This window comes from Homo sapiens, chromosome 17, assembly GCF_000001405.40.
Source record: "Homo sapiens chromosome 17, GRCh38.p14 Primary Assembly".
Lineage (NCBI taxonomy): Eukaryota > Metazoa > Chordata > Mammalia > Primates > Hominidae > Homo > Homo sapiens.
This window is the reverse complement of record NC_000017.11, coordinates 40,922,138-40,938,697: the sequence shown is the minus strand read 5'-3', so window position 1 is coordinate 40,938,697 and position 16,560 is coordinate 40,922,138. Positions and strand designations below refer to the sequence as shown.

The following is a 16,560-nucleotide window of genomic DNA, read 5'->3' as shown; positions in this document are numbered from 1 at the left end:
CAGTGAAATAAAAAATATTCAGAGACTCTTCCCTGATAAGGTTTTGTTGTAAGACTGGGAGGAGCAGAGCTGGTGTGCTTTTGGGTGGCTTTATTTGTAATTGGAAAAGATTGGCCTTCATGGATGGTTAATCTATACCCAGGAGAGGCGTTTTCCTACTTTCTAGTTCTATAACTCACAGTCCTAAAAGGAGCAGAAGTTGATGGCATCAGGAGACCTGTGTTAAAATCCTGACTCTAAAAAGTTTATGATTGAGTCAACATACATTTGCAAAATACCACCAAGAAACCAGACTTTGGTGCTCAAAAATGGAAGACATAAACTCTGCTTTCAAGAAGCCTGCGGTCTCAGAAGGGTGTGGCAAATGCAGTATAATGGAGTGAAAGAACGGAGTGGACTTCATCCCAGGCACAGGAGGTGGCTGCGCCTGGCTAGGGGCTCCCAGCTTCCACCATGAGGTGGGATGCCAAGGTGTCTGCCCCTCTGGAGGACCTCGGCATCCAGAAGAGGCAGTTTCCTCCTAGAGGGTCACCCAACTCATGCAGGAGAATTCAGAAAATGATTGTTGAAGGAGGTAGCCCTTGAACTATAGAAGAGGTAGGGGTGAGTGACTTTCCAGGCAGGGAGGACAGCACAGACTCGGGCAGTGTCACCTATGAATTCATGTGCTCAATTACACTGTACATGCGAATCAGCTCTGGATCATTCATCCCTATGAGACCCTGATTCTTTGTCTGCAAAATGAAGACAACAACCCTTGCCTGGATACATAAAGAGTTGTGAGGATTCAATAAAGAATATAAAAGAGCTACACCAATTGGCAAGTCCTATTATTATGAAAGAGAAGTGTGGTACAGGACCTGTCAAGATTCAACCCAAGATAACAGTGCTATGTGGAGAAAGAATCTAGCCCTGGCTCTGCCACTAACCTCCCCACCACCATAGGCCTCAGCTTTCCTCATCTGTCCAATTAGTGGCTTGGAACCAGAAAGGCCAGAAGCCCTTCCTGCGCTGATATTTTATTTGTAAGTCCCCTTTAAATCCAACTGCCAGTAACTAGCACGTGGCTCCCGCCCCCAGACTGCTTCTTTATTCATTCCTAACCTTTACCTTGGCAGATGAAATATAAGATTCATCAACCACATTTGACAGCCCATGGCAGGTTTCCTGTTTTCCATCGTCCCTCTGCAGGTCACAGACACACAGAGCCCAGCCGTGGCAGGCTCAGCCGGGGTCCGGGGCTGCTAACAACGGCTACATTCCTCCCCCAGGGCCAAGGGAAATCCTGAGCGCAGGCCAGGGTTGTTTGGTTTTGAGGTGTGCTGGGATGAAAGGCACCCTGGAAGTGGAAGGTTCGGTCATTCATTAATTAATTACATCTATAATTGAGGGTTTGTTCTTAAGAGCGAGTCCTTTGAAAGTACTTTCCTTCAAACAGTGACTGCCACAAAGGCATCAGATATTCACCACCTTCTCGGCTGCCTCAGCACAGCAAGCTTTATTCTGGGACCTGAGATCCTGTTCTGAGCTGGCTTTCCCTTCTCCAGGCTCGCTCACCCTCCCTTTAGAGGTGGGGCTTATTGGGGGTGGAAAAAGGTGTGTGTATCTCTGTTGTTTAATGTCTGGTTTTTTGTTGCTGTTGTTGTTGTTTTGTTTTGGTTTTGGTTTTTGGTTTTTTTTAAGGAAATCTATACTACATCGAATATGCTTTCTTTTGGGTGGACTTTAACCTAACCCATTCCAGGTAAATGAACAATGGAAAAACTTCACGGCAAGATTAGAAAGATACCTGAGCCCAATACCCGCCTGATGTCGTGGGCCACACCTCCGGGTTACCAGGGGAAGGGAGGAAGCAAACTGTCATATTGATGTGGCTCTAAACAACAACAGTGTGCGAAGGCCCAGGGGCACTTTGGGATTGACCAAGAGGAAACACAAGTTGCACAATGATACAATCTTGTTGGTACAATTGTCAGAGAAGGGAACTCCCACAGCAAAGGCCATAAAACCATCCAGGGCAGTCTGGGGCGGCTCAGTTCTGCGGTGCCAGGGAGTGGAGCAGAGCTCAGCCCCGTCCCAAACACAGATGGGACCATGAACTCCGGACACAGCTTCAGCCAGACCCCCTCGGCCTCCTTCCATGGCGCCGGAGGTGGCTGGGGCCGGCCCAGGAGCTTCCCCAGGGCTCCCACCGTCCATGGCGGTGCGGGGGGAGCCCGCATCTCCCTGTCCTTCACCACGCGGAGCTGCCCACCCCCTGGAGGGTCTTGGGGTTCTGGAAGAAGCAGCCCCCTACTAGGCGGAAATGGGAAGGCCACCATGCAGAATCTCAACGACCGCCTGGCCTCCTACCTGGAGAAGGTTCGCGCCCTGGAGGAGGCCAACATGAAGCTGGAAAGCCGCATCCTGAAATGGCACCAGCAGAGAGATCCTGGCAGTAAGAAAGATTATTCCCAGTATGAGGAAAACATCACACACCTGCAGGAGCAGGTAAGATGCTGGGTGACCCTGGAGATCCAGATGGGGCTGCTTTGCCAGGGGACCCTCGGGAGGAAAAATGAGTCCAGAAGACAATTTCCAGGAAAATGGCATCAGCGCTTGAAGTAATTGTGCACAAAGGTTTTGGGGGATGTTTTCTTATTATATCTTAAATTTGGAGTGGGAAACGTCTGTTTTGTTTAATTAGTCTACTGTCCATGGATAATGTAGAAAAAGAAGGCAGCAAAAATGATAGAAGTGCTACAGACTGTTTCAAAAATGAGACTACTGATTTCTCACAGACCAAAAACATCTTTAAAATGTGAGGCAACCAGCTGCTGTTTAATGTCACTTATGACCCAACGATGTCATAGAAATGATAAGGGCTGGTGTTCATGCTGCATGCTCAGTGCACCAGGCATAAGAGAGTGTTTACTTTCTCATTACCTCAGTTCTGCTCCACCTCAAACTTTTTTGAACAATGTGGTTATCCATCGACAAAAGGCTGTTACACTATTTTGAAGATTATGCCTAAAAGTTGTCACCACACCAGCATATAGGTCATCATGACATCCCTAGATATTTCCGTTTGTGGGTTGCTTGCAGTAAAGTTGCTCACAGTTCTGACAATGGCATATTGCTAGAACCAATAATAATAAAATGAGCATAATTTTTAGAATCTGAGAGTTGAGATGGCTATAAAGACCTTGTTCAAAAAAAACCGAACTCTTTAACCAAACCTCAAAAAAGCTAAGCAAATACCTTCTGGGATGTCTCATAACATTAGCTAGAAGTAGAAGGAATCCAATCATCTCATAGGTTATGTTTTAAAGCTATCTAACTCCCCTCTTATATAAAGCAGTCCCAGAAAATTCCCTGTAAGACCATGATTTAACCTCCCCTAGAAAGGGTATCACAAGTTTCCAATATTTATATATATTATTTCACAATGCTCAGTCATCCTTGCTTGAATGTAGGAAGGACCAGTCAAGATAATATAAATCTGTCCTTGTAATGAACCCTAATTATTGAATAATCAACCTAATAACTGACTGTAATTACCTTAACTATATAGTGCATGGTTGTCTTTATGAAAAAAAAAAAAAAACAAGGTGACTCAACAGTCCTCATCATGTTTTTTTGTTTAATAAAGTTGCTTTGGTTGTAGAAAGGAGGAATTGAAGATTTTTGCAAATGGAGAGCAAAGGGAGACCATGACTCCCAAAAGAAATACAAGGTTAGAACCAGTCAAATAATTTATGAGCTCGCGGAAGAGATTTAAAAAAAAGAAAGGGAGGAAAGAGAGGGAAATGTTTACTGAGCACTTATTATGTACCTAGGCATCCTGCTGGATATTTAATACACATGTCAACACTATCCAAGAGTTTTCTGCAATGATGGAAATGTTCCATATTATTTTATTTGATTCTGCAAGAACCCTGTAAGGAAATGGAAGCTTGGAAAAAAGTGAAATAGCCATCCAAAGCCATCAGCAAGAAGCAGAGGTGGGATTCTAACTCAGGTCTGTTTCCAGTAGCCTCATAAATTTCACTACAGTGTAGTGCTGCCTAGCCCACCTCATATAAAAATGACACTTAGTATGAATAAAGATAATGCATTATACTTGCATCATTAACCACACATCACATACTTCATACACATTGTCTCATTTAATCCTCACAACTGTGTGGAGCAGGTATTTGTATTCTCAACTTACAGATAAGGAGACTGAGACCTAATCATTGTCTAAATCCTTTGGAACAGAATTGAGAAAAGTGAGTAGGTGCAATGGGGGGTGTGGGGAGCAACCTGCCCACCCTTCAGATGACCTGGAATTCTGGGTTCTGAGATTGAATAGGAAACTTCTTTGGCTTTGAATTTCACTCTTTTCTGGATTTTTACCTCTAACATTGTGTTTTCTCTACACTTGAAGAAAGAAACTCTTTAAAGTTGAGGTTGTCTATCTACCCCAACCTCCCTCATTTGAAGATGAGAAAACAGAGGTGCAAGGAGGTCCCACAATTACCTGGGGCTTATCCTTCCTGGACCTTGGTGAAATGCTCTGAGTGGATACAGTTCTCCCGTACCCTCACTTTAGGTATATTAAATATCACTCAAAAGGTTGATAACAAGTTGAGCTTAAAAATTAATTCAATCCTTTTGAAATCCAGAATTGGACACAGTCATAGGAGTATCATAAATAAAACACCTTGAATGATTCTCAATCGGACTATATTTGGCATTTTTGTTTACAGTCAAACATTCTGTTTTCCTCTCCCTAGTAGATCAAACATCCTGAAGCAACAATGCTGCAAGAATATGCCAACTTGCTTTTAAAAGAATGAACTGAGGGCCTTCAGGAGAATCTGGGTGATTAATTACAACACTCAGTAAAAAACCTATGCCTCATATATCGTTTCTCAACCCATCTTCATCCACTTATTACCATGAAGATTGTGTCAGAAATGATGGTTATATCATAATTCTGTACTAAGTAAGCCTGAATAATGGGAAATAGTTTTAAACGTGCTCTATATCAAGCACATTTCAGAATTCACATTTGTGTGCTATGAGAATGATAGCTGGGGGAATCAGACACTTGAGGTGGACTTTGCAATGGATAAATTACCAATTTAACCCAGAAAAGCTAAATAAGCCCATAGACAGTATTTTTGATTTTCTGATTCTCTGGATGTAGATTAACACCTCATAGTGTGTGTCAAATAGAAAACCTCAGTGCACAAGTAAGTAAGGGTTACCCCACAATGGCCCCCAGGCTCTTTGGGATAGAGCTACTTTTCATTTTGCAGGAGCTTACATAATGCAAAGAATAAGGGGTCTGGAGGGAGAAGTATTGGTAAGAATGCCCCTAAGCAGCACTGTGGAGAGGAGACAAGGAAATATCTAAAAGTGTCCTTCTTTATAGCAAGGGAAGGGGCCATAGTACCATTTGGAATCCCACAAGAGGAAAAAGAATGAGGCAGGAGCAGCCAGCCTGGCTATGTCCCACCATGAACAGCAAAAGTCTGAGCAGGCATCTCAGCATATAGAACCTGGGGATGTTCACAGTGTAGTCACTGAATCTATAAAAGTGCTAGATTTTTAAAAAGAAAGGTGTATTATTTACTTTTTTCTGAACAAATTCAGTTTCGACCAATTTTTCACTGTCTATAATATGCCGATAATATGCTATTTGACATTATTTGACATACTCTCTTCTAATTCTCATAACTCTTTGATGAAGTAACTATTGTTATTGCTATTTTATGGATGAATAAACTGAGACTCAGCCAAGCTCACTCAGCCAATCTCACCCAGCCAGTAAGCGCGGAGCAGGATCCCAGGCCCTGCTCTTTGAGTTCCAGACCCAGCATTCATGCCATCTCTAAATCCTGCTATTGTGCATTCATGATACCAAATTCCATGGGATCAGTGGAGCTTTAAATAGGACCAGACTTTTAAAAGGTGCCTTTGTACTGAAGTATAGCTTTGTCCTAAGAAAATGCTTTCTAAATAAAGGAATGAGCTATGTAAATATAATGGGAATTACCCAGGATTCTCTGACTCCAACTAAATTACAGAAACTTAGAGCTAAGACCTCTAAGGTCCTCTGTCTCTAGTACAGACTCCTTATTTGACAATGGATGAAACTGAGGCCTGGAGAGTAGAGTGATGCAGCCTGATGCATCCACATGGATGGTCAAGAACAGAGCCAGAACCAAAGAAAAGCTCTAAGTTTCTAGTCCAGCACAACACTTGGCGTAAAAGCATTATTACACTTTTGACAACGAGACATCTTCTACCCTAAAGACAGTGACATACATCAAATGTGTGCTATTTCTCTGACTATAACATACCTACAAGTGTTTACAAATCATAAATGTATACACACTTGCTCGAGTAAGTGCTTTCAATACTATTTTTCTTTTCAAAGTAAAAAAAAAATTATACGAACATCTAGTGAAAGTCTTTAACTGGAGGCTTTACCACTACTGAAGCTTCTTAAGCATTTTCCTTAGATGGTAAGGAATTATTTCAGTTAATATTTTAATAGCTACAATGAGCACATTCTCATCACAGAATAAGTTGCAATGACATAAACACACCTTCAAGTTACAGTCACTTCGGGCAAAAAAAAAATGTGTTCTGTGATGACTATTACAAAATACATTGAATATTAGTGTTAGCGTTGCTCAGTAACACTGATTAGAAACATGATTGCTATCACAAGTAAGAATTATGTTCACCTGAAATAATAATTTTTGTATTTTTGGAGGGCTGAACTAATTAAAAGTAATGGCAAAAATCACTTTTTCACCAACCTAATACAATAAGAAAAGGATCAGAACCTAAAGTCCTTTTAACATCTTCAGCTGTGGATGAGCTTAATTAAGCAAAATGCTATGACATGTCCATAACCTAAAAAGTTAGAGGGCATTTTGAACAATTACTGTCCTTCCCCTTCCTATATCATTCTTTCAGCAGTTGCATCAATCCAAGCCTGTCAAAACTCAACATAAAAAGAAAAAAGGCAGTAACACTGACTGCAGATCATATTCTTATTTTAAAATCATTCTGCTTTGCACCTAGTATGTGCTCACTAAGCATTTACTGATTCGGTTATTCATTGTTCCACTGCCAGAACAAGAAGTTGTCTGTACTAACAAGTCAAATATTCAGGAAGCTAGAGGACAGACATGCAGCGGTCATGTGTGGGTGTGTCCAAGTGAGATAACCTTTTGTGCTTTTGTGCATGTTTTACAGATAGTGGATGGTAAGATGACCAATGCTCAGATTATTCTTCTCATTGACAATGCCAGGATGGCAGTGGATGACTTCAACCTCAAGTAAGTTCCTTCTTCACAGGGTTGTTCGGGTTTTTGTTTGTTTGCTTTACAAAAGGAAAACTCGGCGGGGCGCGGTGGCTCACACCTGTAATCCCAGCACTTTGGGAGGCCAAGGCGGGCGGATCACGAGGTCAAGAGATCGAGACCATCCTGGCCAACATGGTGAAACCCCATCTCTACTAAAAATACAAAAATTAGCTGGGCATGGTGGCACACGCCTGTAGTCCCAGCTACTCGGGAGGCTGAGGCAGGAGAATCACTTGAACCCAGGAGGTGGAGGTTGCAGTGAGCCAAGATCACGCCACTAACACTCCAGCCTGGCAACAGAGTGAGACTCCATCTCAAAAAAAAAAAAAAAAAGGAAAACTCATCTTGCCATTACCCGCATCTAAAATCTTATAATGAAAAGGCATAGCAACGGCAAATGCACTGTGTGTTACTTGAATGAACCTTAGTTTAAACAAATCAGATATAAAGCACATTATAGTATGGGGAAGTTTGAATATGAATCAAGAATTAGATGATATTAAAGGGTTGTTATTAATGTTTAGGTGTAGTGTTATGTTTATTTTATTTATTTATTTATTTATTTATTTATTTGTTTATTTTTGAGACGGAGTCTTGCTCTGTTGCCAGGCTGTAGTGTAGTGGCGTGATCTCGGCTCACTGCAACCTCTGCCTTCCAGGTTCAAGCGATTCTCCTGCCTCAGCCTCCCAAGTAGCTGGGACTATAGGTGCACACCACCATGCCCAGCTAATTTTTGCATTTTTAGTAGCAACAGGGTTTCACCATGTTGGCCAGGATGGTCTCAATCTCTTGGCCTCGTGATCCGCCCGCCTCAGCCTCCCAAAGTACTGGGATTACAGGTGTGAGCCACCGTGCCCGGCCTGTTTATTTTAAAATATATTTTTCTTAAAAGATGCATCCTGAAGTATTTAGTCTTAAAATGTCATCACATCTATAATCTGCTTTAAAATACTTCAGCAATGAAATAGATGAAGCAAATATGGCAAAACATTCATGGTTGCTAAATATAGATAATGGGTATATGACTGTTTATTATCCTATTCTCCCTACTCAATTTAAAAGTTGACATTGAGTCACCATCATGGAGAAGTGTAGCATGAAACTGGCATAAAAAAGACATCCTATATGTATTCATTTGCTCTCTTTAAACCTAAAAAGTAAAAGATTCACCTCTAAATGAAAATGAATCCTTTCAAAAACCATGGCCTTCCAACAATGAGTGCACTCTTCTCTTCCTTCTCACCAAAGGTATGAAAATGAACACTCCTTTAAGAAAGACTTGGAAATTGAAGTCGAGGGCCTCCGAAGGACCTTAGACAACCTGACCATTGTCACAACAGACCTAGAACAGGAGGTGGAAGGAATGAGGAAAGAGCTCATTCTCATGAAGAAGCACCATGAGCAGGTACAACTCCCCAGGAACACCTGCTAATAAGCACAGCTCTTAGCCTGCACATCTCAGGCTGATTCGACAGCTACAGAAGAAACCACCACCTGGATGCCAATCCCCTTGTCCTTCACCCTAAATAGTCTTTAGAAAAACATACAAATATCTAATGTTTCTAATTTCAAGGTTAGCTAGTCACATGTCAAATACAACAACCAAAATGCAATCATAATTAATGATGAATTGGTCAACAGTTTTGTTAATACACAATGTTTACCTAGATGTGCTTGTTAATGTTACTATAAGAATCAATGCGTGAGACTGGACTTCCATCACTGGCCCAATGTTCAGCAAGTTAGGGGACAATATAATGAAGAGAGTCTGCTACCAACCAAGATAAGTGTGATGTGGGGCAAAAATAAAGAATCCTAATTTCCAGAAGCATTTAACTGACTTTTAGAGTTACCATCCATCACAAGTCCTCAAGACTCTGATAAAATGATAGAAAAACAGTTCCCATTTTAGGAAAACAAAATTGCTTCTCAACATCAAAGAGCTCAGTTTCTGAATAGCTGGTTAGACAATGATTGTTAATTAAACCTTTCCTGTGGCTGCTTGGTTTTCATGAAATCCTATGGGCGTCAGCCCTACAGTGTCACAAGGCATTGATGAGATTTTGAAAGCCTCTACACCTTCTTTCTGCTGTTTGCCTCTTGAACTGCTTCCCAAAAGCTTTGGCCTATAGCCTGTAAGGTTCAGCTGCTTAACTATGTTGTCACTTCACCAATCCACATCTGCTGAACAGGACTTTGCACACTATGGAAGCATAATTCTTTCTGAAATATTTTCAACCACGGATCAAGTCAGTAATCATGGAGGCTATTTGATTACCTGCCTTATGATATTCTTTTTTTTTTTTTTTTTTTTTTTGGAGACAGGGTCTCACTCTGTCACCCAGGCTGGAGTGCAGTGGCGCAATCTCGGCTCACTGCAGCCTCCACCTCGCAGGTTCAAGCGATTCTCCTGCCTCAGCCTCCCAAGTAGCTGGGATTAAAGGTGTGTACAACCACACCCAGTTAATTTTTTGTATTTTTAGTAGAGACAGGGTTTCTCCATGCTGGTCAGGTTGGTCTCAAAGATATTCTTTATTTTATAAAATTATTAGAGAAAAAAGTATACAATGTTTTATCACCAACAAGTAAGTAATATTTGAGAAACCAAACCAGTGACAGTGGGAGCAACCACATAATCGGAATGTTTAAAAGATCTATTTACCACTGCCAATCAACATGGCAATCCAGCCTTCTGATTGTCAAAGCCGGTTCATTTCCTTTCTCTGTTATTAAATAGGAAATGGAGAAGCATCATGTGCCAAGTGACTTCAATGTCAATGTGAAGGTGGATACAGGTCCCAGGGAAGATCTGATTAAGGTCCTGGAGGATATGAGACAAGAATATGAGCTTATAATAAAGAAGAAGCATCGAGACTTGGACACTTGGTATAAAGAACAGGTAAAAGAAAGATGCACAAACTTCCCAAAGGTTGCATTTCCATGAGGTCCCAATGCTGACGCCTTTGCCTTGCTTGGTCCCACAGTCTGCAGCCATGTCCCAGGAGGCAGCCAGTCCAGCCACTGTGCAGAGCAGACAAGGTGACATCCACGAACTGAAGCGCACATTCCAGGCCCTGGAGATTGACCTGCAGACACAGTACAGCACGGTGAGTCAAGGCTAGGAAAACCGTGAATCCCACACCACCTCCTTCACGAAGCCTTCTGAGACCTCTCTCCCAGGCCCTGACCCTCAACTCCCTTGGGACAACTCTCACTTTCCACTTTCCATCCAAATTGTTTATGATGAGAACCATAATAAAGGGCTACCATGTATTGAGTGTCCCGATGGTGCCAGGCATTGTGCTAAGTAGTTCATGATATTAAATGTCATTAATCCTTACAGTAACCTTCCCAGATAGGTCTTAGTGTCCCCATTTTAGAGATGAGGAAACCAAAACTCCAACAGTAAAATAAATTGGCCAAGGTCACACAGCTAGTAAGTAACTGGTGATGAAACCATATGATTTATTTGGAGGAAGGGGGATTCTAGACCCCCATAATTTCTATCAGTGCCCTCTCCACTTACAACCAGGCTACCCCCCTCAAACCCCAATGTAGAGAAATTCCAGTGCCAACATGGTAGGTGGCAGATCCAGGCCTGGCTAACTCCAAAGCACTGCCCTATTCATTTATGTATATGTCTTATCACCCAGAAAACTCTAAGTTCTTGTGTCCAAGTCATTTCTATCATCTTCACAGTTTAGAAAAATGCTTAGCATGGTCATAAGCATTCAAAATTTATGAAGGTCTATCATTTGATTCCCAGTATACCCTATTGAGTCTTCTAATCATTCATCCATATAATTGCCAAGTGCGATTCTACCCTCAGTCTTGAGAGGCAATGATTTGTTCATTTATGTTGCAGGTGCACTTGGGTAAATGACTGCTGTGTTTTATGCATCCGTGATGGTGAACAGACACTGCAAATGTGCACGTAGAGATCATGAGTACAAAAATAATTATAGTGCAACTTTCAAAACGTTTTAACATACAGTATTTCACAATGGCCCTGTGAAACAGGCGAGGCATGTATACCCATTTTCATGCATTCTACTATCTGACACCAATCCTTAGCACTGAGGATTTTTTAATGAAGGAGTTTATATTCTAGTAGGAGTGACAGATAATAAATGTGCAAATCATCAAAATATATGTTAGATGGAGAAAATTGCTACAGAGATGAAGCAGAGGAGGAGGGCAGATGCACCAGGGTGAAGAGCTGCTATCTTAAACAAGGTGGTCAGGAAAGGTTTTCCTGTTAGAGTGGCAGTGAGCAAAGAGGTAAGGAGGTGCTTGATGTGGTGATGGGATGTGTTCCAAGAGGAGGGAACAGCAAGTGCAAAAGCGACAAGGCACAAGTGTGTCTGATGAGTTGGAGGAGCAGCAGGGAAGTCCATGTGGCTACAGTGAGTGAATGAAGGGAAGAAGAAAGGAGAGAAGAGGAGGGGAAGGGAGGGGAAGAGGGAGGAAGACAGGGTGAGGCCGCGGAGTCCCAACAGAACCAGACAGTGTAGGGCTTTGTAGGCTACCTTGGAGGGGTCTCAAGAGGAACAGCAGGCATAGACAACTCTTTGAGGAGCTTTGCTGTAGCTGAAGGAGAGCAGAGAAATTGGATGATAGCTGAAGGTAGATATGGGTTTAAGAAAGATATATTTTAAGGTAGGAAAAATTATTCTATTTGAAAGCTGGTGGGAATAATCCAGAGAGAATATTGATAACGCAAGAAGGCGGGCAACTGCCGAGATGACTGGAGCACAGACAGCTCACACAAAAGAACAGAGGGAAGCCAGCACCCAGATGCAGATTCAAGTATGTGCCTGGGAGCAATGTAGGGAGCAGTGGGCGGTCTCTCCCGATTGCTTTCATTTCATCAACAAAATTAGGAAGCGAGGCCATGGACTCCGAGGAAGGATGGCAAGGACAGAGGAGAGGGAACAAAATAACCTCCTGGGAGAGTAGGAGACTGGCTGACCAGGGAAATGTGCTTTAACCGCCAGGCAGCATGAACGGCCCCCTGAAAATTAGCAGCCACGATAAAGGGAGAGTATCCAGCACAGTTAGGAGATTCTCTTTAAGGTTAAAATTATGCGCTTCAGAAAAGCAGGTGTTACATGCAAACAGAACTGGGACTTGAACTCAATCCTCCATATTCTAGCCCAGAAACTTCATTTGGCAGCTGTTAGAATTTCCTCAAAAAATGACATTTTTTTTTTTTACCATCGTCATAATCAAAAAGCATTGCTTGAGACTAGGGTTGCCAGATTTACCAAATTAAAATATAGAATACTCAGTTTAGTTGGAATTTCAAATAAAAAGCAATTTTTTTTGCATGTCCCATGCAATACTGGAGCAATATTTTGGACATAGTTACACTAAAAAATTACTCATTACTCATCTGAAATTCAAATTTAACTAGATGTTCTCTATTTTATCTGGCATCCCTAATTGAGACCCTTCTCCGAAGATACAAAGAGATAGCAGTCCCAGTTGCTGTCGCTCTTTGGGAGTTTTCAATCAGGTCAAAGATAAAATGAAAGGAGTTAAACAACAGTTCAGAGCAAGGCAATGGACTTCAAAAGTCCTAACACTGCTCAACTCCTGACTGCCCAAGTCCCAAACCTGTAAGTCAGCCTACTTCTCATCTTGGTGTCCTCAGCAGCTACCAAGACACCTAGCCAACTGGTCGACATCTGCTAAGTACTCAACAATCACCTGTTATTGACTCAATCAAGCCATCAGTTAATTAACAGAAGATCATTTCCTCTTTCAGAAATCTGCTTTGGAAAACATGTTATCCGAGACCCAGTCTCGGTACTCCTGCAAGCTCCAGGACATGCAAGAGATCATCTCCCACTATGAGGAGGAACTGACGCAGCTACGCCATGAACTGGAGCGGCAGAACAATGAATACCAAGTGCTGCTGGGCATCAAAACCCACCTGGAGAAGGAAATCACCACGTACCGACGGCTCCTGGAGGGAGAGAGTGAAGGGTAAGGCAAAGGCTGGCACGAGAGGAGCATGCGAGGGACCTCCAGCTCCTGTGGGTATATGTGTGCATCTTTGGGTTCTGTTAGCAAGAGTCACTCTAGCAAGAGAAAAGTTGTGTTGAGCTACTCCAGAAGATACCTATAGCTGGCTGTATTTCACTAAGCAGCAAGTATAATTAATCAACTAATACTCACAGGACACTAAGATTTGCAGTCAGAAGAGTTAAAGTCTCTAGAAGGAAACAATTCAAAAGGATTTGGCCACTGTGTTTCCCAGTAGGAATGCACACAATTTTGGCTCCAAAAAAAAGAAGGCAGGGGGAATGTGTTAGTCCACCAGCAAAAGAGAAAAAAAAAAAAAGATGCATATGAGCTAGAGATGTCTAGACTTTCAATCTGATATTTCTGGCCACCCCAGGAAATAACAACAGCTGGCCATATAAAGGGCATATATATTCTATGATCCGAAAGGAAGGGATAGAAGTTTTATAAAAATACATAAATAAAACATCACTAGACCAAACTTTGAACAGCCTGAGAAGCTCAGGGGTCTCAGGCTTGAGACCCAGACCCTGGCAGGGATCCTAGAGAAAACCAAGCTTGCAGCTGAAAGGAGGGGATGGTTGGTGGACTTCCCCTGACTCCAGGGTTAGCAGGAGGCGGTACCCAATGCCTTCTGTATCCAGACGGGTTCTCCCGTGAACCCATGACCTTGAGACTACTAAGCTCAGACAATTATCCTCATTAAAGAGCAGAGGATTTACAAGCAAGCGAAGGAAGTTAGTTCATCCTGAGAAGTTGTTATGATTGTTGCTAATACTAAAGTGAGCTTTAACCTTTATCACTTTTATAGGACACGGGAAGAATCAAAGTCGAGCATGAAAGGTAAAAAATTTCCTTCATTGTTTGAATCTCTGTTTTTAAGGAATTAGCATGGTTATCCATTTTGTAGTAGTCATAATCCTTAATGTACTCCCAAATGTCCTGGGTTCAAAATGTCCTGGGTCAGGAATCTTCAATGAACAAATTAGCTAATACAAAATGATGTAAGCTCTCATTATTGTCCTCAATATAGGTAAAAGCAAGCAGTAAAGAAAATTAAAATGATAATTAATAGTATTATGTCTCTATTAAGTAATGGAGTCAGTTTACTAAACCCCTAGAAAACTAAGAGGCAATGATTTCATGATTTCATTTCTCAGATGATTCTGTTGAACACTCGTGTTCCATGAGATTTGAATAGTGTATTACGAACACTGTGTTCTATGGCCAGATAAGGTTAGAAATACTGTGTGCCATGATCCTCTTCTTGGACAGTCCTGTTGCAGTTCAGTGTATTAAAGATGGAACAGGTACTGCTTTGAAGGAGAAAAGGAACAAGAAAGAGGTAGAAACAACAAAAGTTTAACTTTGTTTAGCCCAGTATTCCCAAACATCTTTGACCTGGAAACATGCTTTCTCAGATTACCTTTAATATCTCACAGAAAAGTTGCAGGAGACTGTAGTCTGGGACAAGTGGCACTTTCTGATTAGTTTGTGATAAACCTATTCTAAGGCATTGGAGATTCAAAGAATCAGTTGGAGTAATCATCACAGGACAGCTGGTCTCACTGCTACCCATCTACAAAATAAGACAAGGGTCTTTGAGACTCTCTTCACACATGTCTTAGGATGGGGAACCCATACTTGATGGGATGGTCCCAATGGAGAGGTTTTAATTTAACAAAATTCTCCCTTGTAAATTTATTAATGATTTCAATTCTTCCCTATGGTCTAGAATTGCTTTATTGATGTTTCAACAGGCACTTATTCAAATAAGTTATATATTTGAAAACAGCCATGGTAAGCATCCTTGGCTTCTCACCCATTCCTCATGTGGCATGCTTTCTAGACTTTAAAATGAGGTACCCTGAATAGCACTAAGTGCTCTGTAAGCTCAAGGAATCTGTGCAGTGCTACAAAGCCCACAGGCAGAGAAAGAACTCCTCAAGTGCTTGTGGTCAGAGACTAGGTTCCATATGAGGCACACCTATGATGAAGGTCTTCACCTCCAGAAGGTGACACTGTTCAGAGATCCTCATTTCCTGGAGAGTGGGAGAAAATCCCTCCTTTGGGAAATCCCTTTTCCCAGCAGCAGAGCCCACCTCATTGCTTAGTGATCATTTGGAAGGCACTGAGAGCCTTCAGGGGCTGACAGCAGAGAAATGAAAATGAGTACAGTTCAGATGGTGGAAGAAGCATGGCAGTGACATCTTCCATGCTCTTTTTCTCAGTGTCTGCAACTCCAAAGATCAAGGCCATAACCCAGGAGACCATCAACGGAAGATTAGTTCTTTGTCAAGTGAATGAAATCCAAAAGCACGCATGAGACCAATGAAAGTTTCCGCCTGTTGTAAAATCTATTTTCCCCCAAGGAAAGTCCTTGCACAGACACCAGTGAGTGAGTTCTAAAAGATACCCTTGGAATTATCAGACTCAGAAACTTTTATTTTTTTTTTCTGTAACAGTCTCACCAGACTTCTCATAATGCTCTTAATATATTGCACTTTTCTAATCAAAGTGCGAGTTTATGAGGGTAAAGCTCTACTTTCCTACTGCAGCCTTCAGATTCTCATCATTTTGCATCTATTTTGTAGCCAATAAAACTCCGCACTAGCTGCATCGTGTCTTTTTTTAATATCATAAGGCAAGACAGCACCTCAGGGTTTCATCCTAACAAGGGGTTCTCAGAACATCGTCCATGGAAGATCCAGAGAAATCTCCAGACATCAGACATGTTCACGGCAGCCAGACACTGGGCAGAATTGTCACCCTGTAGCCAGGCAACCTAGGCATGAGTCATGGGTCATGAGGCTCTCCACAATCCACACTTCTGCCAGTAGGAAGGGAAGGGAGGAAACAGAGAAAGGGAGGCCCAGAAAGCCTCACTGGGAGTGTGAGATGACCAAAAAGTATGCTATCTCACTTTTAAAAAGGAAAAAAGCTGAAAGGCCTAAAAGAGTAACTCTCTTTTAGGCTACTCTAAGCTAGAAAAGGAGATTAAGGGAAAAAAATTCTCATTACAGACAGATACTATGGCTCTAAAAGGGGAAGTAACTCATCCAAAATTCAAATTGCAAATACTAGGATCCAGAGTATCATGCCATATTAGTCTGTTCTCATGCTCGGGTATAAAGACATACCCGAGACTGGGTAATTTATAAAGGAATGAGGTTTAAT

At 41.9% G+C, this 16,560-nt stretch overlaps 1 protein-coding gene and 1 long non-coding RNA gene across 10 annotated transcripts in view; one reads left to right on the top strand and one right to left on the bottom strand.

The window, feature by feature from the left end:
- Positions 1-10,095, bottom strand: part of LOC107985072 (uncharacterized) — a 55,255-nt gene extending 45,160 nt beyond the window's left edge. For both annotated transcript variants that reach the window (XR_001752886.2, XR_001752885.2), the window contains exon 1: positions 10,016-10,095. This is a non-coding gene — a long non-coding RNA (uncharacterized LOC107985072). The remainder of the gene's footprint in view (positions 1-10,015) is intronic.
- On the top strand, positions 1,052-15,998 carry KRT23 (keratin 23). Of its 8 annotated transcripts, none has more exons than XM_047435728.1 (10): positions 1,052-1,352; positions 1,439-1,570; positions 1,745-2,490; positions 7,243-7,325; positions 8,602-8,758; positions 10,091-10,252; positions 10,338-10,460; positions 13,124-13,344; positions 14,195-14,226; positions 15,615-15,998. In XM_047435728.1, the coding sequence occupies exons 3-10, from the start codon at positions 2,095-2,097 to the stop codon at positions 15,707-15,709; spliced, it is 1,269 nt and encodes a 422-aa protein (XP_047291684.1). In that variant the 5' UTR covers positions 1,052-1,352; positions 1,439-1,570; positions 1,745-2,094; the 3' UTR covers positions 15,710-15,998. The 8 variants fall into 8 exon arrangements, with proteins under 8 accessions (XP_047291684.1, XP_047291685.1, NP_056330.3 ...); XM_047435729.1 differs by having other exon boundaries at positions 1,439-1,596; NM_015515.5 differs by lacking the exon at positions 1,439-1,570.

Bases quoted from the DNA above. Each gene is read 5' to 3' on its own strand.
- KRT23 (NM_015515.5), top strand. From the start codon at position 2,095: ATGAACTCCGGACACAGCTTCAGCCAGACCCCCTCGGCCTCCTTCCAT. The intron at 10,253-10,337 runs GTAAAAGAAAGA...TTGGTCCCACAG, and splicing joins ACACTTGGTATAAAGAACAG to TCTGCAGCCATGTCCCAGGA. The intron at 10,461-13,123 runs GTGAGTCAAGGC...TTCCTCTTTCAG, and splicing joins TGCAGACACAGTACAGCACG to AAATCTGCTTTGGAAAACAT.